The 23,175-nt window shown below is 39.4% G+C and overlaps 1 long non-coding RNA gene across 15 annotated transcripts in view; it reads left to right on the forward strand.

Annotated features, from left to right (window-relative positions):
• LOC105372058 (uncharacterized) overlaps nucleotides 1-21,759 on the forward strand; it is an 83,282-nt gene extending 61,523 nt beyond the window's left edge. For 10 of the 15 annotated variants that reach the window (XR_001753390.2, XR_935347.2, XR_001753392.2 and 7 more), the window contains 5 exons: nucleotides 270-464; nucleotides 5,547-5,655; nucleotides 6,556-6,775; nucleotides 17,875-18,006; nucleotides 21,531-21,759. This is a non-coding gene — a long non-coding RNA (uncharacterized LOC105372058). Of the gene's footprint in view, nucleotides 1-269; nucleotides 465-5,546; nucleotides 5,656-6,555; nucleotides 6,928-17,874; nucleotides 18,007-21,530 lie in introns of those variants that run through there. The other 5 variants (XR_001753396.2, XR_001753397.2, XR_001753391.2 and 2 more) reach the window with 4 other exon arrangements.
• Nucleotides 21,760-23,175: the final 1,416 nt, after the last annotated feature.

Here is a 23,175-nt window from a genome sequence, read left to right on the forward strand (position 1 = left end):
AAGACAGGCTGAATTATGACTAGTATAACTTTTGGACACACACGCACACTCTCTGTCTCTCTCTCTCTCCTCTTTCATAGCTTCCATAAGGGAAGAGATTACGTTAGTCTGGTTCACAGCTATATCCTTAGTGTCCTGTATGCAATGTACTTGGTAAAAATAAGTTGTGGAATGCATGATTGTTTACGATAATCACCAGTTGTAGGTTAAACTATTCTTCCCAATGTTCCACTGTCTCTATCCACACCCTTTGCAATATGCTTTTGTAGCCCTTCCACCTGAGTGATGTTGGTCTTGGCTGTGTGATTTGCTTTGGCTGATGATAAGTTGATGGAAGTGATAGTAAGACAATGCTGAGCCTCATCCTCGGAAGTATCTCTGCCTTCACCTGGCTTTGTGCACCACTGCCCTGGCTTTGAGAAGAACATGAGCCCAGTAAATTGTTAGTCCAGGAAGAATGAGAGGTGAGTGGAGCAAAACAGCCCAACTGACCTGAAGACATTTGAACATAGCATATATTCTAATTGCTGTATATCAGTAAGTTTTGAGGAGGTTGTTACACATCCATATTTTGTCTATAGCTGGCAGTCTCCCAGCTAAGCAAAATATCCCACTGTAAAAAAATCTAATTATATAGAAACATTCCAAGATCCTCCCTTTTTGTTTTTCCCTTTGACCATTTATTAACACAACTTAATAAGATGGTAATTTTTTTACATTTAGCCAAAATAGTAGCAGAATGTGTGACTTACTGATTTTTTATAATGATCAAAATTTTTTCACATTTTTAAATTTGGGTATGTTGCTTATTGGCATCAAATTGGGAATAAGGAGACATTGATTTTGGTTCCCCTGGTTCTAATATACTGTGTGATTCTATAAAAGGCACTTAAGCTTTCTGGGCTTTGGTTTCATTATCTGTTGAACATATGGCTCCTACCTCCATAACTGAAATATTGTGTGTATAAATATTAAATAATGTATGAAAAAAGTGCTTTTCAATGTTTAATAAACTATAAGTGTGTTAGATTATTACTTATTATTTATTAAAGTTGAAATACTAAAATATGGTGCCAATTTTATCATAATAATTTGCTATGTGATGATAATCAGAAGAACATCTAACTTCTGAAAACTCTGTGCCTAAAGATGGATCACGTAGTGTTTCAGCTGTTTTTGTTTTGTCATTATCACCAAATTACTAATATTTCTTTAATCTAGTATGGCTTTATATAAACCAGGTAATTAGAATTTGTCACCTTAAGTTATATTTTAAATATTGATACGGTTTGGGTGTTTTGTCCCCTCCAAATCTCATGTTGAAATACGACCTACAATGTTGGAGGTGTTTGGGCCATGGGGGTGGATACTTCGTGAATGGCTTGGTGCTGTCCTCATGATAATGAGTAAGTTCTCGCTATACAATTTCACACAAGAGCTGGTTGTTTAAAAGAGCCTGGCACCTCCCCTCTTTCTCGCTCCTCCTCTCACCATGTAATTTGTCTATTCCTCCTTCACCTTCTGCCATGACTGGAAACTCCCTGAGGCCCTCAGCAGAAACAGATGCTGGCTCCGCACTTGCTGTATAGCTTGCAGAACTGTGAGCTAATTAAATCTCTTTATAAACTACCCAGTCTTAGGTATTTCTTTATAGAAATACAAGAACAGACTAATACAGAAAGTTGGTACTGAGGAGTGGGGGCCTTCCTATAAAGATACCTGAAAATGTGGAAGCAGCTTTGAAATGGGGTAATTCACAGAGGTTGGAAGAGTTTGGAGGGCTCAGAAGAAGAGAGACAAATAAGGGAAAGTCTGGAACGTCTTAGAGACTGGTTAAATAGTTGTGACCAAAATGCTGATAAAGATATGGACAGTGAAAGCTAGAGTGATGATTCCTCAGATGGAAATGAGGAACTTATTGGGAACTGGAGCAAAGGTCATTTGTGTTATGCCTTAGCAAAGAGCTTGGCTACATTTTGCTCACATCCTGGAGATATGTGGAAGTTTGAACTTACGAGCAATGACCTGGGACATCTGGTGGAAGAAATTTCTAAGTAGCAAAGCATTCAAGTGTGGCTTGGCTGCTTCTAACAGCCTAAGATAAGATACAGGAGCAAAGGAATGACTTAAAGTTGGAACTTATATTTAAAAGGGAAGCAGAGCTTAAACATTTGGAAAATTTGATGCTGAGATGTGATAAAAAAGGAGCAAGTATTTTCAGGGGGATATGAAAGCACCCTGTGGAGCTAAAGAGATTTGCATGACTAAAATGGAGCCAAGTGCTGATATCCAAGACAATGGGGAAAAAGGCCTCAAAGGCATTTCAAAGATCTTTGAGGCAACTCCTCCTATCATAGGCTTAGAGGCCTAGGAGGAAAGAATGGTTTTCAGGGGCAAGGCCCAGGGGCCCACTATCCTGTGCAGCCTCAGGATGCTACTTCCAGAATCCTGGCAGCTCTGGCTTCAGCCTTCACTAAAAGGCAATGGATACAGCTTGGGATACTGCTCCAGAGGGTTCAAGCCTTAAGCTATGGCAACTTTCACGTAGTGTTAAGCCTGCAAGCACACAGAACGCAAGAGTGAAGGAGGCTTGACAGCTTCCCTCTAGATTTTGGAGGATATATGTAAAAGTGTGGGTGCCTAGGCAGAAGCCTGCTACAGGGGCAGAGCCCCTCCAAGAATCTGAACTAGGGTACTGCTGAGGAAAAATGTGGGGTTGGAGCCCCCACACAGAGTCACCATGAGGACACTGCTTACTGGAGCTATGAGAATGAAGCTGCCACCCTCTAGACCCAAGAGTGGTAAAGCCACCAGCAACTTGCAACCTCAGTGTGAAAAAGTCACAGGGCAGAACTGCCCAAGGCCTTGGGAGCCCACCCAGAACAGCAGTGTGCCCAGGATGTGGGACATGGAGTCAAAGGAGATTATTTTGGAGCTTTAAGCTTTAATGACTGCCCTGCTGGGTTTCAGACTTTTGTGGGACCTACAGCCCCTTTCTTTTGGTTAATTTTTCTCTTTTGGAATAGTAATGTTTACCCAACGCCTGTACCACCACTATATCTTGGGAGTAAATTACTTATTTTTGTTCTTACAGTCTTATAGGTGGAAGGAACATGCCTTAAGTCTCAATTGAGACTTTGGACTTTTGATTGAGTTGATGTTGGAATGACCGAAGACTTTGGAGGACTATTGGGATGGGATGATTGTATCTTGCAATGTGAGAAGAACATAAGATTTGAGGGGCCAGAGGTGGAATGATATGGTTCGGATGTTTTATCCCCTCCAAATCTCTTGTTGGAATGTGACCTAAATGTTGGAAGTGGGCCTAGTGGGAGGTGTTTGGGTCATGGGAGCAAATCTCTCAGGAATGGCTTGGTGCACTCCTTGTGGTAATGAGTGAGTTTTCACTGATTTCATGTCAGATCTGGTTGTTTGAAAGAGTGTGGCATCTCGGCCAGGCATGGTGGCTCATGCCTTTAACCCCAGCACTTTGGGAGGCCAAGGTTAGTGGATTACTTGAGAGTCAGGAGCTCAAGACCAGCCCCTGGTGAAACCTCGTCTCTACTAAAAATAGAAAACTTAGCTGGGTGTGGTGGTGTGTGCCTGTAGTCCTGGCTACTTGGGAGGCTGAGGTGGGAGAATCACTTGAACCCAGGAGGCAGAGGTTGTAATGAGCTGAGATCATGCCATTGCACTCCAACCTGGGCAACAGAGCGAGACTTAATCTCAAAAAAAAAAAAAAAAAAAAAAGGAGTGTGGCATCTCCTCCCCGTGTCTTGCTCCCACTCTCACCATGTGATGCACCTGCTCCCCCTTCATCTTCTCCCATGGTTGGGAGCTTCCTGAGGCTCTCGCCAGAAGTAGATCCCAGCTTCTTTCTTCCTGTACAGCCTGTAGAACTATGAGCCAATTAAAACCTCTTTTCTTTATAAACTATCGGTTGCAAGTATTCCTTTGCTGTGACACAAGAACAAACTAATAGAAATGTTATTTATAGTAAAGGTGACAAAGAGTAAGAAAGAATCATGGATTTTGGAGCTAAAGAGATTTGAATTTATACTCTGGGGTAACTATCAACTAACTGTGTTGCCTTGGGAATGTTAAATAACCTTTCTGAGCCTCAGATTTCTCCTGTTTAAAAGAAGGATAGTGGCAAATGATTTGCAATGTTGCAGTGAGGACTGAAGATGATGTTTGTAAAATGCCAAGTGTATATTGTTTAGCACAAGGTGGGTAGTCAATAAATGCTAGATAGTATTAAAATTACGTCATGAAAATATTTCTATTCTATCCTCTATACTTCTTTGGCTTCAGAAACAGAATATACATGATTCCTTGCCATCATTCTCTCATCATTGATTTTTAGGTGGTGATATGATCTAAAATTTCACTAAGGTTATTCAGGTGCATACAAAAGCCAGCTTGATCTTTTAAAATTCTCTTTTCTGATTTTTATTGTCTTCTCTCCTGTGGCCATGTTGTTATCTATTGTTCCTTTCTACACATATATGCTGTTCTCTTACATTGTATCTGGTTATTTCTATTCAGTTCAAGGGCAAAACTACCAAGGAAACCAAATTTGTATGCGATGAGTGGATCACGAAAAAATTACAGAAGCTTTACTATATGGAATTTTTTATTTAGAGTTTAACTGCTTAGAAGCTTTTAAAATTCTAATTTCAGAAGCTGAGGTTATAAGATAAAGTATTTTTTTAGAAAACTTAGATTTTAAAATAATAGAGAAATTTAAGAAAGGTGATAATGATACAAGGCAGACTTGATAGAAGAGGCTGCTAGTTTTCTTTTGAAGTTACATTAATTCAATAATATGTTAAAGATTCAAATATGGTTTGTCAAAATTAGTAACAGTCCCAAACAGTCCCAAAGTGGATTCTGCAAGCAAGATACATGATAAGTTCATAGCTTTTCTACAACTCCAAGTCTCTTTAGAAGGCAAATGATAATATCTTTCTGAGTTTGGCTGCAATTTTGGTCCTTGAAAAGTAGTATGGCTAAGTCACAACATTTAGTCGTATAATTGGCAACTTCTAACCCTCCAGCAGATGGAGCACGAGCTGCCCAATTCATCTTGTGCCTTTTTTTCTTTAGCTGCAAATGTTCAAGAGGTACATGTCATGATGCATATGGGTTTCTATTCTAGAGTGAAGATTCAATGAAATATCTTGGTCAGATTATCCTAAAGCAGAGCCCAAATCCAGGACTTGGATCGAGTTACCTTCTTGTTAGAGCAGGGAAACCATCTTGACAGAGCAGGGAAATGGAGACAAGGAAGTAGGAGGGACAACACTTTTGGAATATCAGCTGGTTTTTGCTGTGGGCAAGTAGGTCTTAATTCTACTGAGGACCCTCTAAATGTATATGTATAGAATGTGAACCTCGGAATTGTCTTTCCAGAACATGCGAAGTCCAGACATTTACCTGCTAATGCCTTTGTCTCATTAGTTGAGAGTTTCCACCACACCAGGAGTATTGTCTCCCATCCCACTCCCACGCTTTCTGACTGTGACTGTGTTGTGTGACTTTAGAGAAAGTCCTGAGGCAGAGAAGTGGAGAGAAGTTGCTGCTTGAGCTTGAGAAAGAATGGTGGCAGAGTACATGCATGGAAGTGCTACCATAGCTGCTCTGAAATCAGAGGTGGGCCAAGTGGATGGGGTGCAGGGCCCAAAAAAATTTCTGCTTTGAGATAATGTTTATGCAAAGTGCTTTGTGGTTCATTAAGTTCTAACACATGTTATTTGTTATTAATAGTGAAAAATTCAAATGTTCTTGTTTATAATAAAACATAATAAAAGTTTATCAAATAGCATGGCTCATCCTAATTAGTAATATTGGTGATACTATGGTATAGGGTTAAACCTATTTGTTTGTAAAAGGCCAGAGATTGGGTAGAGTATTCATATGTCCATTTGTTACTTCTCTGCCCTGCTTTTTACTTCCCTAGAACTGCTATCTGTCTATCCCTGCAGATAACACACACACACACACACACACACTCTCCAGTGATCTATCCACCCCCTCATTGCTCTCAGACATTATTATTCCAATGAGCATGTGACAAACCCATATGGGCGCAGATAAAATGAATTGGGAATACTCAGTTCTTCCTTCCATACCCCCATAGGTTGGGAGACAGGAGGTTATGATTTGAGAGGTTAATCAAACACATGCTTTGCAAAACTGCCCTCAAGACAATGACCAGAGTTGGAAGATTCCCAACATAAAGAAAAGATAAATGTTTGAGATGAGGGATATTCCAATTATCCTGATTTGATCTTTACACATTGTATGCATATACCAAAATATCACATATACCCCCAAAATATATACAACTATTATGTATCAATAAAGATCAACAGAATGGCCAGAAACCCAGACACTTGCTACTAACCAGTAAACATGTCCAGGCCATAATTAAGCTCTATTTCCATAGTCCATAGCCTAGGCTTATCAGACTTAAACTTGTATGTTTATATAATCATCAAGGAATATCTAATAAGTGCTCATAGTGCTTGGCCCTGGTTCTCTCATTTCAAGGAAAGTGGAATTATAAGAAGACCCCATCTGACAAGGCTCATAAAGGAGAGCAACTCTTATGGAATACATCCAAGATATATACGTCTTTGAAGAAAGACATCACTCAACTGTGAAAGATCACCATGACCCCTGCTTTAATTTCATCAAAAAACTTAGTCCATCAGCTCAGTTACCCTTTAGCCTTGCATGGGAATTGACTCAGAGCTTCTGCAAGATCAGGGTGAATATGAATTGTTTAGCTTCAGATGATCATTCCTAAAGTGAAAACTCCTGGAACTTATTGGCAAAAAAGAGAACTCTTTGCTATTTCTAATATAAATGTGTTATTAGAATTGGTCTACTGTTCTAATAAATAACAGTAATGGAAATGGATTGAAATAATGAAAGGTTATTTTTCACCCCTGTTAATTTATTGAATCTGGGGGATTAGTAGGTTGCTCCACTATGCAGTCATCCAAGGACCCAGGCAATTTTCATTATGAGACTCAGTTTTATTCAGGTTCTCAGATCTTCTTGTTCTACCTTATGGTCAGGAAAAGAAATGAGGTTCTCAGGTGGGCCTGGAAGGAGTGTATGTCACTTCTACTCATCCTTTTGGTGAGAACTTAGTCATATTGCTACACCTAACTGGAAGAGAGACTGGAAATTCTAGCCTAATTGAAAGGGAAGTAGAGAACTCAGTTATGGGCAAAACCTTACGTCTCTGCCAAATAAGTAATAGAAATGTGGGACCTAATTGAACAAAGTAATGACAATAGGAGACTTTGTTTTCTTTGTGGATCAGTTACACATTTAATATTTTCATATCCCAAGAGAGGTGAGGCTTTATGTTTCATCTATTATGTAAGATGCTCTATTCTGGACAAATATAGACAATTTCTTCCTGAGGAATGGCATCTCACATTTCTGGCGTTTTACTGTTGCTTCTGATTCTGCTTTGATATCGTAGATGGAATAGAGAGTGAAGACAACTATTTTCATATAACTATGGTTCATGATTGGCCTTTGGATAATCAGCCATTAGCTGGAATAGTCACCACTGATGCACTTTAATTTTATAATAGGCATCCAGCAGTTCGGTGATGAATGTCTAAGCCAGAGTGGAGGGGTGAGAGAGGAAGGGTGCTCATATATTAGAATTATCTGGAAACATTTTCAATTATTCATGCTGGTCTCAAAATAAATCAGCATCTGGTGTAGGGTTCTGAGAGAAGGGAAGTAAGACATAGATTTTGCAGAAGTTACCTTGTACCTGGCCATCCCTTCACCCAACTGAAAATCATCACTCTAGACTCTAAGTTCCTCTATTTGTTGTTGCCCCTCTTTGTCCTAGTGGCACATTTATGCTATTTTTTCCTTTATGAAGAGCAATTTTCCTAGTGAGTAATCACTTAAGTGAGTTCAGTGTATTGTCTGCTAGAGTTGCCAAAACAAAACGCCAAACTGGGTGATTTAAACAACAGTAACTTATTTCTTGCCATTTTGTAGGCTGGAATTCTAAGATCAAGGTGTTGGCAGGGTTGGTCTCTAGTGAGGACTCTTTTCCTTGGCTTGCAGATGGCCACCTTTTCATTATGTTATCATATGGTGTTTTCTCTGTGTACACATCCCTGGGGTCTCTTCCTCTTTTTATAAAGACGTTAGTCATATGGAGTTAGAATCCTACCCTTATGACATCATTTAATCTTAATCACTTGTCTACAGGTCACATCTTCAAATACTATCACATTAAGAATTAGTACTTTAATATATGAAGGGAGGGAGGCAAAATTCAGTCTGTAACATTGAAAATGTAAAAATGTCTCCAGTGACACATACTACCTTTTGGCTTCCAAAGATCCTACAGCTTCAAATTTTCTTGAATCTTCTGGGTCACAAAAACCACCAGGAGTAATTACAGTCCTAATTCCAGTTAGGAAAGCTGCAATGGCAAATTGAAATTCATTATATAAAATCTAGATGAATTTAATTTCAGAATATTGAGCTGTGCCTAATCCTCCTCAAAGTAACATTCAGGTTAAGAACTGGATAATTTGTATGGCAGGCAAGTTTTCCCCTGGTCTCCCAATGTCTTCCTAAATTCCATTCTTAAAACATCTCCTTCCTTCTTTTCAGTATCTTTCTCAAAAATGTGCTATGCTCTTCACACTGAGGCTGCCAGATTTCTTCACTATCGGTCTCATCAACACCTATGCATCCTCCTGTCTCAGTCTTTTAGGTTTCTGCTCTGGGGAAATGGCAACTAGCTAATGTGATAAACAATTCAGATAAATATATAGGTGGAAGATAAGTATTTTAGGCTAGAACCTCTTTTTTTTTGAGACGGAGTCTTACTCTGTCACCCAGGCTAGAGTGCAGTGGCGTGATCTTGGCTCACTTCAACCTCTGCCTCCCAGGTTCAAGGGATTCTCCTGCCTTAGCCTCCCGAGTAGCTGGGACTACAGGCACGTGCTACCATGCCTGATTAATTTTTTGTATTTTTAGTGGAGACGGGGTTTCACCATGTTGGCCAGGATGGTCTCGATCTCCTGACCACCTCAGGTGATCCGCCCACCTCGGCCTCCCAAAGTGCTGGGATTACAGGCGTGAGCCACCACACCTGGCCTAGAGCCCCTCTTATATTTCCACTAATGACATGTCTTCTGAAAACTCAGAAAGGTGCTCCAAGCACACTCTCTAGTCAGGCCCCATTCCCTGAGTGTAGATAATCAGTCTTGCATTTTTCCTCCAAAGAGCTGACCCATGTAGGTATGTTCTTAGGAATAGACCATCCATTTCAAATGAGTGCATTTTATTATGATCTACAGGGCACGGTTTTCACAAAAGCATTAAAAAAAATCTCCTGTTTTCCCCTCTCTTAACTCTTTCATGATCTGCCTATACATTATGAGGTCTGAGAGAGTAGGAAATGTATCCTATTTTCTTTTATTTCTTTAATGAATACTGTTGGTGCTCAGAAAATGTTTGGTGATTACATTTTTGTTCTAGTACAGGTTTGTGTGTGTGTGTGTGTGTGTGTGTGTGTTTGGCAAATATTACTTTTACCATTTCAGTTTTCAAAATATGCAACCCAAACAGAGATTAGAATGACTCGGATTTTGGAAGATTTTAGAAGCAGAGTTGGATTATATATTTATAAATTTTTCTAGTGCCATATCTTTTCCCAACTCCAAGTATCTAAACCAGCAGGGTTAAAATCACGCTATTTGAGTCAGCATTCCCTTTGAATGGCATTATTATTACTGTTTATCATTGCCTCAGCTTTTGCAATAGGTTCGGTGCTGTGAAACACATTAAAAAGACACAGTTCTTGCCTTGGGGCTTACACTCAGATAGGCAAACAAACAAAGTGTATTTAAGAAGAGGTAGATTGATCACGAAAATGCAATTTCCCAGGTGTTCGTATTTGTGCTTTGGGTTCCTTTGTCTTTTAACCAGCCGTGGACTAAAGCAATCTTGAAACTTTTCTTCAAACAAAGATATAAGTGACAAGAGTTCAGGGTAAAAAACATGAGCCTTAAAGGGCAGAATACAGGGCTGAGCATCCACAGGACCTGATTCTGGGGGTCTCTGTGGTCTTGAATTACTCTCTCTCCTCATGCTTCTTTCAACAATTCAGACTGCCAGTGGCTTCCTCACTGGAAACCAAATCATTCATTTAAAAATGGATCACCAAATTTTATGGCCCGTCTTCAAGCCATCAAATACTGTTTAAAAAATGGACTAGTTCTCCTTACAGACTGAGATATTTATTTGAACAAAATTTAGAAACACTTTTATCTCAAGGATTTATTACCCTCCAAAATTTTAAGTTTTGAAAATCCAGTTTGTAAGCTGAAATGAGTAAAAATGTATTTCATAATTTTTACTCCTTTGGTGAACATTTTAAAAGTTTTCTCATGCATAGAGCAAAAACAAATATTTCTATTTTGTATATTATCTTTGGTGTTTGTGGGAAATACTCGCGCATGTGTGCACGCATGTGTCTGTGTGTGTGTGTGTGTGAGTGAATGCAAAACTTGAAGTTTCACATATGAAGTACATTGGGAACACAATCTTCATGCTTGGTAAAGCTGTAGAGATGTCCACATTGCAAAGGGACTGGCAATAGCTTCACTAAAGGGCTGGCAATAGCTTCACCAAGCCGTGTTCCGCTGCGTTTGGTCACCGTAGTCTCTAGGTGCATGGAAGGGTTTCTCGCAAGGATCTTGACCTGGGTCAAGGCCATGCATATTTAGGCCTTGGTTTCCAAAGTTTCTGTTTAATTGCACTTTTTCATCACATGCAGGAGTGTGGTATGCCCTTCCAGATGGCCCATACAAATGCTTTGTTGTACTTCACTCACTCTCTGCATGCCAAGCATCTCTGGGACTACATACATCACCAATTAGCATCTTATATTCATTTGACAGGAAAGGTTCTGCAACATTTTATACAGTTTTCTTTGATAAACATGATTTGCATGTTCTTCTCTTATAAGAAACAAGTTTGTGATTGTGGAATTTTCCTTCCTACTCCTCCCTCCCACCAAATGCTTTTCCCCATGCAGCAACCAGTTGATCTGTATTTTAGGAAAAATGTCTTTTGTGTGACATTTTTAGAACCCGAGGAGACCATGTTAGTGTGTTTACCAATGTATACCGTAGGTATTTACTATGTCACATCTCTCCAGGGGGCTGTGTTCTTGCAGGTACATTCTGAATTTTTCAGATTCTAGATCATGAGACCTCATCATTGACCTATAAATCTGATACTGCCATCCCTTCAGGCCTTTGCAGAAGTCTTCCAGATAAACCTTCATTTTCTGAGCTCTGTGCTGAGCATTTGATAGTGAATTTTGTGTACTGACACTGATAGTGAGATGCAGTCTTAACATGTAACAATCACATTTAGTCAATACACCAAAGAGATGCAATGCACCAGAAGGATCAAATTGTCACCTGGCAAATGGTGACTGTTACTTTGAAGAGTTTTCCAATGTGATAAATATTGACACTCTGGATAGTGGATAAGTAGAATGCACAGAACCGTGTCGGGTAGCGCCTTCTTCATGTCTCCACTTGGATGGCTCATAGGCATTTCAAACTTTACCCATCCACTTTCAGAATTGTCAACACCGGTTTCTCTCCCATCTAATAAATGATTCATCTACTCAGTTCAGAAACCTGCAGTCACCGGGAATTCCCTTATTTCTTTCATTCTCCTCACCCGCCTCCTCCTGGAATCTGTCATTGAGTTCCTTTCCATTCAGTCTTTGCCAACTCCTGCCCCATCCTCCCTTCACACCCCAGTGCCTGGAAAGCTTCTGTAACTTCCAAACTGGCCTTCCTTTTCTAAGTCTGGTTTTGGTAGATTCCTTTCTCTACCCTACTGTTATTAAAGTTTTTTACACCATACATTGCAGGAGGTCTCCCTGTAGCTGAAAAACCGGCATAGGTTTTCAGTCCTGTTTAGAACACAACCCAAACCTCTCCCACCACAACTCCCTAACCCTGCAAAGCCCTGCATGTCCCGGCTCCTTTCTAGCCCCTTCTTCTTTTCTAGCCCCTCCTTCTTTTCTAGCACTTCCTTCTTTTCTAGCACTTCCTTCTTTTCTAGCCCCTCCTTCTTTTCTAGCCCCTCCTTCTTTTCTAGCCCCTCCTTCTCCTCACACAGGCACAGCCTCGCTAAGCTCCGGCCTCACTGGGTGTTTTGGGTTCTTGAAATTTTTCAGTTCTTTCCCACTTTGAGGATTTTGCATTTGCTTGTGTCTCCTGCCTGAGAAGTATTTCCCTGTAACTTTCACTTGCTTGGCTTCTCTTCATTCTTTGGGTATTTTCTTTAGAGAAGATTTCTGAGTTCACTCCAACTGGAGTAAATGCCCCGGTTGCTTTCTGGCCCATCGCCCCACTTATTTCCCTGAAAGCACTAACCATAGTCTGAAAATGTTTTAGTTACCTATTCACATATTTGTCTGCTGTCTATTTCCTACTGTCTAGTACATTCAAGGTCAAGATCTGTCTTGTTTAATTTATATTCCTAATTCTTAGCACAGTGCCTGGCACACAGAAGATACCTGAAACATATTTATCGAATGGGTGTCTCTAATAAATTTTGATGAGGAGAGTTGAGTGTGTACATGTGGGGTGTGTGCATGTAATGAAGAAGTTAAAGGAAGGAAGCCATATTCTACATAGGAGTAGGAGAAGAGATGGGAAAGCTTGGCATTAGCATTGCAAAAAGACAGGTCAGCTGAGGGGCTGCCAACACAGGACCGATCCCTGAAGCCTGGGTCAATGCAGAGATCAGAGGACTCCGCCTTATAACCCTGGCAGTTTGCCGGAGACCAGTCAAGTATGTACTGATTGGCGCCTAGGAAAACAGCACAATGTACTCATTCACATAGAAAAAATAAGAGAATCACAGCTCCAGGGTAAAACAGAGCATGGATCTTCAAAGCATCATATGATGCGGCTGAGGTCACATCACATTCAATAAATGGAACAAAACTTCCACTTCCACGTGTAAACAAACATGTGAATTCCTAGGATCGAATTCACCATCCCCATAATCTGCAATTTAATTTTACAAATTAAAGATAGAGCTTAAGGGACACATTTACCAGCTCCCAATAGATAGTGGGATGAAGCCCCATGGATGAGAATTTGACACAAGCCCTTGGACTGCACAGTGCTCAAATTGGGAGAAGAAAGTACATTTCTTTCTCAGTGAGTGAAAAGAAACTCACTGCCTTGGTCAAAACTTGACTGTGGCCGGATGCAGTGGCTCACGCTTGCAATCTCAGCACTTTGGGAGGCCGAGGCAGGCGGATCATGAGGTCAGGAGTTCAAGACCAGCCTGGCCAACACAGTGAAACTCCATCTCTACTAATTTTGTAAAAATACAAAAATTAGCTGGGAGCAGTGGCGGGCACCTGTAATCCCCAGCTACTCAGGAGGCTGAGGCAGGAGAATTGCTTGAACCCAGGAGGCAGAGGCTGCAGTGAGCTGAGATCGAGATCGCACCACTCACTGCACCCCAGCCTGGGCGACAGAGCTAGATTCCATCACAAAAAACAAACAAACGAACAGCCCTGACTTTAGGAGGCATGCAGGTAAAGTCGTTAAGCACATGGGCTCAATGAATAGCAATAACAGTAATGCCAGATAGCATTTCACAAGCACTTGCCATGTGCCAGATACTGCATTAGCCTACTTCCACGCACTCTCTCGCTTTAAACTCATAACACTTCTATGAGGTAGGCATGATTTTTGCTCCATTTTCATAGCAGAAAAACATGAAGTTAAGAGATGCTTATTATTATGCTTTAGATCATACAGCAAGTGTGGAAGGTGGGATTTAACTTCTTACCTATTAACATTTAGAGTTAGAACTTCATTATCCCTTTTGATTTGCAAGGAAACCTCATCACTGGGTAAAAGGACTTAGCCTCTGCCTGGGAAGTAAAAAAAAAATGTACAAGGACATTCTTGATCCTACCAATTTCTGGGAAAAATATATCCTCTGAATTTATACCACACAGCATTTAATATATGATGCTGTAATTGTTTTTTGGTTTGCCCATTAGAATGCAATCAACCTTAGGCCCTTGCAGTAGTCTCTCATCCCTAGTCCTTAACACAGTGTCTGCATCTCAGCTGAAGGCAGAGGTTAGAGCTCGTTCTGAAACACTGATCTGTGAAAGTTTTTAAAAATTTGATTATTTCAGCCTTCCATTTGTATTAACTTGTTTACCAAAACAACTTATAGCCATTTCTGAGTAAACATTTTAAAGACGATCTTGCGTTGTAGTTTCAAAGGAGGATCCATGAATAAACCTGACATGGACTGTCAGGGACTGTTTCCAGTTAAAAATGGCTGTCTTGAAAGAGTCCGAAGAAGCTATTTACAATTCTAAGAGAATAATGGTAACTTTAAACACTATTTAATTTTAAAGCATTGTCAATAAAACAACTGAGAAATTGGGGAAGAAGAAAATAAAAACAAAAGAAGAGAGAGAAATTGATTCTATCTTGGAACTGTCACGTGGGGGAAATTTCAAAACAGGATATTGAAGGTTTTAGAAAATTCATCATGCTCATTACTCCCATTTTCAGGTAAAATGCAAACTAGATGCCAGCAGGCTTTTAAAACACCATTTTATGTGTCTAATAGGCCAGAACTATTGAAGCAAATCAGATCTCTCATTTTAATATGCATTTACACATTTAAAAATTTATATTATTGACTATGTTGAATGCCGTGACTTCTGGAGAACCATTATGGCTCACAGGATAGCTTTTTATTTGGCATTGTATCAATTTAGAGCTCAGAATGTCATGATCTTAATGCAGATAGGAAGTATGCATGTGAGAAGTGGTATGGAGAGAAAGGTAAGGTGCACATGCAGTTGGCAATTTTCAAATGTCATCATTTTAGCCCTAAAAAAAAAGAAGAGAATGTTCTGCTCCCTGGTCTGTGCCAGGCACTTCCTCTTGCACGCCCTGCACTTCTCCTTTGCTTGCTGCAGTGCTGTAGAGTGTGGAGGACTATTTGCCCCACATGTAAATATCACATGGAGCTAATTTACATTGTAGACTGTGGGTCCAAGAGGGAGAAACACTTAATTTTATTAATAGAGTAGATTTTAAATCTCTCCACAGGAGGCCATAGAATACCCCAAAGGCTAATCTATGCTATGGAGAGATGGCAAATCAGAAAAGCCCCAGTGCGTTTTTTCCCACCTCAGAATCTGCTCCCACTGAAAGCTACTACTAGGCCGATTGGCTTTGAGCATCCTCTGTTTGAACACTGGAATTGTTCTACACCGGATGTACAAATACCTTAAGCCCCTGAGGTTTACAATAGGAATGCTAATGCATGGCGTAAGCCCCTCTGAAACAAACAGAGCTGGGATAATAATTTTGTAACCTCATGTTGACATAACCCACCAGCTTGCTGAAGAGCCCCTTCATGTAGAGGAAACAGAGAAACTATAATGATTTTCAGATACAGTTGACAAGAGACCATTTAGTAAACTTTTATTTTTTTTTAACTAACAGTATGCAGGGATGTTGTATTCTAGGCTGCTACTAATAATCTCATCAGAATGCAAAAGCAGCGACTGTGTTATAAAACCAATGATCTGTTATATTCTGCAAGAATTTACAAAAGCCTAATGTCATTTACTACACCATGAGAACCATACTTGGATAAAAAAAAATAAAACACAACAGAATTCAAAAACTGATTACAGCTGACGAAAAAATAAACTATGTGCGAATGTAATGCTTTAAAGGTATAACATACCACAGTTAAAGACAGGAAGGAGTGATGACTTCAGAAGGGAAGGAATTGGCATGTGGGAAGGTAGGAATGTGCTACAACACTTAGGACACTTTGGAATCAGGGCATCCATTCAAGGCCAGGAGTCACCTGGTCAGTGCTAAATATGTGTTACTGGCTCAGGCTGCAGGAAACTTGCAAGCTCAAAAGAGTTTCCTTTTTTATTCTTCACTTTTTCAGCAGCATTTTTGACAAAAGCATATCTGTAGCAGTTTTAAATACGGAGTTTAAATGTTTTAAAAAGGAAGAACTCTTTTCAGGGACATTTGCAATAAAGTCAACTGAAAAGTCAGTGGCAGGGATGTCAGGATGTCTATGTAGCTGGGACACAGACAGCCTTATCCCCGTCTCAGCTGGTACCCTGTGATAGGTTGAAGAACAGAAGCAAATTTCACGGAGCCCATCATGCTCCATGCTCTCAAAGGTTTCATGGATTCAATTCTGGCAGTCTATGGCATCTTAATTTTAAAAATTACTTTCTTTGATGCCCAAAGCAAATTTTTCTGCATTTTGTTCAGTGGTTTTAAAAAATAGCTTTCAGAAGGATATCTACCTTTTTGCCTATCTATTTATCTATCTGTCTAATCAAATCTGTCTCTATCTACCTGTCTGCCTATCTATTGAGAGTGAGAAACTTTGATGTTCTTGCAATTTCTATAATCTTTGGAAGAAATTTATTTATTCTTTCCTTTCAAACTCAGTCAGTTGGAAGCATGTTTATCTCCAGGATGGACTTGGCAGAATGTGAGAAACACAGGGTCCTTAACACTAAAAGGCATTTTTTACAGCATTGTTAACCAGCTTTCAGCAGATTCCCTGCAGCATTTGTATTCCTGGATGTCCTTGAAGGTACAATTGGTCTTGCAAACTTGCAGGGAGTCATTTGGAAGTGTTGACTTAGGCGCCTGTAAGACATCTGGTAATAATGAAGATGGAGCTTTTAATGCTTTGGGATTTTATGAATGAGTTATAGTACAGTCACTGATGAATCATTAAAGTACATCTCTACAGGAGGATATTGCCCATATTTCTTGACTGCTGGGAAGTTGCACATATTGTTAGTTGTCCAGAAAGAAAGTGAGATCTGCTAAGTCTGAATTCCCTGCAGAGCAGCTAGTTTGAGAACCAAATGAAAGTAGCATTACATTTCAGGAAAGCCTTGCTCACCAGAGAGATGTATGTTTTATAAGAGAGCTAGGTCTGTTTATTAGTGAGCCTGAATCGCACAGGGTGATGGTCAAATGTGAAGAACAGGCTCTCTGCCTCTGCTCATGCCACTGCCTTTCCTGCTGAATGACTGGAGGAGTCACTGTCTGTCTGGTGACCTTCCTCAAGAACAGCCCCAGTGCGCCCCTCTTCATAATGTTCCCTAATCTTCATAGGTAAAATTAATGAATTCTCTGTTATATGCCTGCAACATTATACATATAATTATCTTAGATCTCTTAACTGTCTTATAGTATACCCATAAATGTACTTATTTATTGGTTTATCCTAGTAGACTATTAGCGCCTCAATAATTATTATTTTCCATTCACAACATACAGATGAGGTCCTACCACATCATAGGTATCTAATAAATGTTTAGCAAATAAATAATTACAAAAGAATTTAAGTAAAAATCAAGCTTATAGGAAGAGATAAGAAAACAATATCAACAATTTAATAAGTCTGACTGACTGTGAATCACCTAAGAAGTAGGTTTACAAGATTCCTGTCCTCCATAAGGAAGAAAAAATTTAAAAATAAACATCTTTTTCTTCATTCCAAAATTCTGTTGTGTTACACCTGAGGGACAGGTCCTTTTCTCAGTCTAATAGGTAATCAACAATTTAGACATTGGAAGCAAAAAGTTTCATTTGTTTTCATTAAGATAATATCTATACACACAAGAAAATTATTGGTCTTCTTTGAAAACTGTGAGTTTGAAAAGAGCGTTGTAAATAGATTTAGTAATTTCTTTGTTTAACACATTTGCATCTGCTATGTGCCCAGCCCTATATTAGGTATTGAGGGTTCAGGGATGAACTAAGCTGATCTGGTTCCTGCTCTCTAGGCTGTAGAAGATGGCAAGTGCTGTGGACTTCAAAGAAAAGATTTCTGAAGTGTCATGTTATGACAATTGTGGTAAGTGCTACGCTTGAAACAGTTAGGTACTTTGATAGCATTCAAGATGGGATTCTGACCTGGAGAGGAGATATCTTCACTGAAGAAGTGATAATTAAACAGAAACTAGAAAGATGGTGGTGATGTGAGCACAGGGGCCTTTAGGGACAGTGTGATGAAAAGCAAGGTGATACAGGCAGACAAACAGCATATCTGCACATGAGCCTGGTCCATTTGAGGAAGGCAAGGATGGGGATAGGCAGTGAAACTCCAATACAGTGAGTGAGGGTGAGTATGACGTGAACTGAGAATAGAAATTTGGGCAGGCAGCACTTTGCAAGGCTGAGGCAGGGGAATCACTTGAGGTCAGGAGTTTGAAACCAGCCTGGCCAACATGGTGAAACCCTGTCTCTACTAAAAATACAAAAATTAGCCAGGCATGGTGGTGGGCACCTGTAATCCCAGCTACTTGGGAGGCTGAGGGACTTGAACCCAGGAGGTGTGAACCTCCACTTGAACCCAGGAGGTGGAGGTTGCAGTGAGCCGAGATTGCGCCACTGTACTCTAGCCTGGGCAACACAGCAAGACTGCAAAAAAAAAAAAAAAAAAAAAAAAAAAGAAAGTTGGGCAGGATCATTTCTTTCAAGGGATGAAAGGCCATGCTAGGGATGTGACAATGGATAAGACCATGGGCAACATGTATCCCATACAAATGCAGCTCTAAGCAAAGTCCCTAGCTACCTTCTTCCAATCAGACAGCCACTCTACTCCTGCACATCTATCCCTTTGTATATAACAAATCCAGCGCTGCAAAAGGAATTGGAAATTGTGGGATAATTTTAAGAAAGAAAATGATATTCAAATTTGAGTTTTTGGGAGATTTCTCTAACGATCATTCTGAGAACATGGCAGAGGAGAGAAAGGGTCTGAGTAGAGAGAAAGTGAAGAAGTGAGGGATGGCTCACACTGGGGTGGTTGAGAGGGAGATGAGTAGAGGGAAATTGGTCAATTAGTGGTATATTTTGAAAGAATAATCAACAAATATGGACGTCAAGGATGATTGCCAAGGTTCTGTCATGAGCATATGAGTGACTACTGAGCCAGTTATTAAAGCAGAAACACTTGAGAAAGAATAGTTCGGGATGGAAACAGTAAGTTTGGTTTTTGAAATTGTGTTGTTTGAGATACCTGTGGAACATCCAAGTAGAGGGATCAAGAGAGAAGTGGGACATAAATTGAAAGAATGAGAATAGAAATTAGCATGGAAACAGGAATTTAGGAATGATAGACTTATAGAGAAAAATACAAGAACTATTGCTAGAAATTAGAGTATTAACACAGCTTCTTCTTTGGATCATAATAGACAGTGAAGGGGAGAAAGGAGAAATATGAGATATTCTCTAAGAAGTGATAGAGGTAGTTTTACCTTGTTTTTACATGTTACTAAAAATATATTTGTTGATTTTTTTTGGTCATAACACGTTTTGGCCCTTTCCTGTCTATTGTTGGCTGCATTTTAATGATATTTACAGTGTGTTTTACATTGAACTAACACTAGCAAGTACAAGACTTCTCCCATTTTTCTGGAGATCATACAATACAAAAACCATTAGAAAAGTATAAAAGTCATTCTTAAATGGTTGGACATGGATAATCAATGAAATATCCATTTGGAAAAGTAAGAGAAGTGTCAGAGCTAGATATATATGGAAATCAAGTAACTGTATGCATGCGCGTCTCTATTGCTCTGTGGGTATATATATATGTATATACACACATATACATGCACAGAATCACTAAGTCACATGTTATCACTTTATATATTGATGATGAAGTTCAGAGAGGTTATGTGATAGCACATGGTTAGCAAGTGGCTGAAGGCAGGCTTGAAATCTCTAGACTCAGAGTTCTTTCTACTTTATTCCTTCTAAGTGAAATAGCCAACATCAGCAGGTCCTCATGCACGTTAAGCACCTTCGTCTTTATCACAGGTCTCTGAGGTTAGCAGATTTACAGTGTGGTACATAAAGTGAGGTCTTCTGACTGCTACTTGTATCCCACACTCAATGAACATTCTGAGCACATGCAGAGCTGGCCTTGGGCTTGTACTGAATCTGTGCATGGAAGTTATGGAATTGAAGAGTCAGGGAGTGCTCTTCATGAGGTGCATTCTGATAACAGTGAAAGCATAGACAGAAGGACCTGGGCCAGCATACTTACAGTGGAACACATCAAGATGATCGCCACCTTCCAAAGGCTCAGCCTTTAAATGTCACATGCCTAAGTGAAACTTCTCTCCTGGGGTTAAATTTTTAAGAACATGGGAATGAGTAGATTCACTAAGTATATGGAGCAAGATACGTAGGAGACTAGGAAGGAAAACCAGAAGAAAAGGAAACCAACACTGTTCAAGTTTAAGGAACTTTGGAAGGTGAAAGTGTAGGGCAGATGAGAGAATAATAATGATGATGTTGATAGTGATGATGACAGGAAGGAAGAGGAGGACCCAGTACATTCATACAATATATTTATGTTTTAAATCATCTGCTCACTGTTGACCTAGCATCATGCTGCTGGTAGTTAGGATGCATTTACAGTATTAGCCTTTGCTTTCTGCAGTGTACATGGCTAGCCCCATGTGACTGTGGGTGTTAGACTCACTAGGATGAGAGCAGGGCCATGGTATCCCTCATACTGTATTCCCTGAAGGAAAGCAGGTCTGGCTGTCTTCCACTGGAAAACAGATTTCTCCCAGAATGAGTTCATTTTAGCTGTCAGCAATGGAGTATCTAAGCATCTTTCTTTGTATGCAACATTGCCGGCAGGATGCCCACCCACCTCCACAGGGGATAAGAATCCCCAATGGGGGAGAAAAGGCTGCTTCCAAGTGAGTGAAGCAGCTGTTGTTTTACACAGAAATGTCAAAAGCACAAGCAAATTTCTCATCACCAATTGGTGGTGTCATGGCCAAGAAAATACTTCGTGATTGTTATGTGGTTTTGGGAGAAGCAACTGGTTTTATGAGATTTACGTTATAGGTATAAACTACATCTGAAAAGTAAACCCTTCATTACAATTTATTTTACTGCTAATGATAGAATTTGAATCTGAGATGTGGAAGGTGAGATTCAATTAGCCACGTATCTTTGAAACTTAAAAAATCATGTTACCTTTTATTTACTGTTTTTAGTAGTTGAATGAGTATAAATATGTCCAGTGATTCTGAATATTAAAAATTATGTGATCTTTTAATAATATATTTCTAGTATGTAAAATTTTGTCATTTCCCAAAATGAGTCTCAAATATCAAGCATTTAAGGCAGTTTTCCAAATGCAAAGAAATATAAGCCATATGTCATTGTGTCCTTATACTGACCTTTAATTTATTTATATGTTTATCTGCCCACCTGTCTGTAATCTGTCCATTCACCTATGCATCCATCCATCGTTTAACAGCTATTGATTAAAGACCTCTGTAGCTGATACACTGTATTAGACATTATAGGACATTGAAAGTGACATAACTCCTGTTCTGTGTCTTTTAGATGCTTCAAACTATGTTGACTATTCATTTACAGCATAAAGAAGAGTGAGCCACTTTATCACTGCAGTAATTATATTTTAAAAATAAAGAAAATAAAACAAATGGAGTTTCCCACCCAATCCATGGAGACACAGACACGAAGTCTTACTATAGATGTGTGGCCAATCCTTACATTGCTTTTATTACAAGCCTGGAAATGACAATAAAATACATGAACTTGAGAGTATATAAAGGCTGTAAGTTAGCCATAATTTAGATTATAAGAAAATTGGATAGTAGTTCAACATAAAGAAATGAAATCTAACATATGATGTTATGTTCCGCACTGTAAATATCTCTGGTGTATATCTTGATTACCTGATTATGATAAAAGTAACAAGATAACTTGTTATCACGTTATCTGATAACTAGTTAACATGTCAGTATAGTAAATGATCAAAAACTGTTTTAGAAATTGCACCTGGGGTTGAAATATTTTGAGTTGGTAGCTTCTTCAGTGGTCATAGCTCTCAGCACCCAGTTAAAAAAACAGAGGCCAGGTGGGACTGGCTGGAAGAGGACCCCCATCCAGGTCATCAGAGCTCTTTCAACACTGCCTCTTGCAAAGCTATTTTATGCAACATGTTTCACTGCCAAGAGCAAATAAGAAAACTGACCTTAGCCTAAGCTGGTGCATAAGAATCTTGTTTTAAAGCTCAACCTTCTGCATTTTTTCAAACTTCCTTTCTCCACCCCACTCTGCTTCTTATCCAAACCCTTTTCCCTTCCCATCACTCATTTCCTAAATAGGACGCCTTATACCTTCACGTCAATATGCACTGCGAGAGCTTCCTTATCTCCCATTTAACTGTGTTCAATCAACGTAGTTTTTTAACTTAAAGTAATAGTTCTGATAGGATTCATAGGTTATCTTGGGCTAAAACAACAGCTAAATTTGGCTCATGGGAGAGTAAATCTTGGGTTTTGTTTTAAATGGCTAATTATTTTACTTAGTCTGCGTAGGCCTTGAACTCTAGGCATGTGTGCCACAAATACCAATAATAGATAGAGCATGTCAGATTTTCCAGAATTCAGGGGAAATGCTTTTATTCAATTTTGTACAATGATCAAAAGTGTTGACATCTTAGTCACATAAACCCATGCTCTGGACACTGCATGCACACAAACACAGGAGCTCAAGCCCATCCACCTCTTCTCATTTTATTCTTTCCCCAGCTTAGCATGCCCATCTCACTATGGTTCCAGAGCCCACAAGAGTGCATGTCCTGTTTTCCCTCTGTTTCACCTACAGATCACATGGGTTCTACTGGAAGATATTTTCCCAAATGAATACTCATAAAGTTGCCACAAGATCTTCCCATTCGACAACCTCTGAGTGATTTTCTTTCTTAAAAAAGAAAAAGGAGGAGCTTTAATAGCTGCTTTAAGTTTACTTTCCCTGGATTCTTAATTATATTAAATACCCATATATTTCCTCCCTGAGTATTCATTTAGAAAGAAGGTTTTGTAATAGTCACATTTAATTTATCAGGGTGTAATAATTTGTGTTTCCCAATCATCTTGCCGACTTTGGTTCATTATACTATTGTTTCACATGAGTAAGTTAGCAAAGTTTGGATTGATTGACTCTAATTAACTAAAACTGG

Source organism: Homo sapiens, chromosome 18, assembly GCF_000001405.40.
Source record: "Homo sapiens chromosome 18, GRCh38.p14 Primary Assembly".
Taxonomy (NCBI): domain Eukaryota; kingdom Metazoa; phylum Chordata; class Mammalia; order Primates; family Hominidae; genus Homo; species Homo sapiens.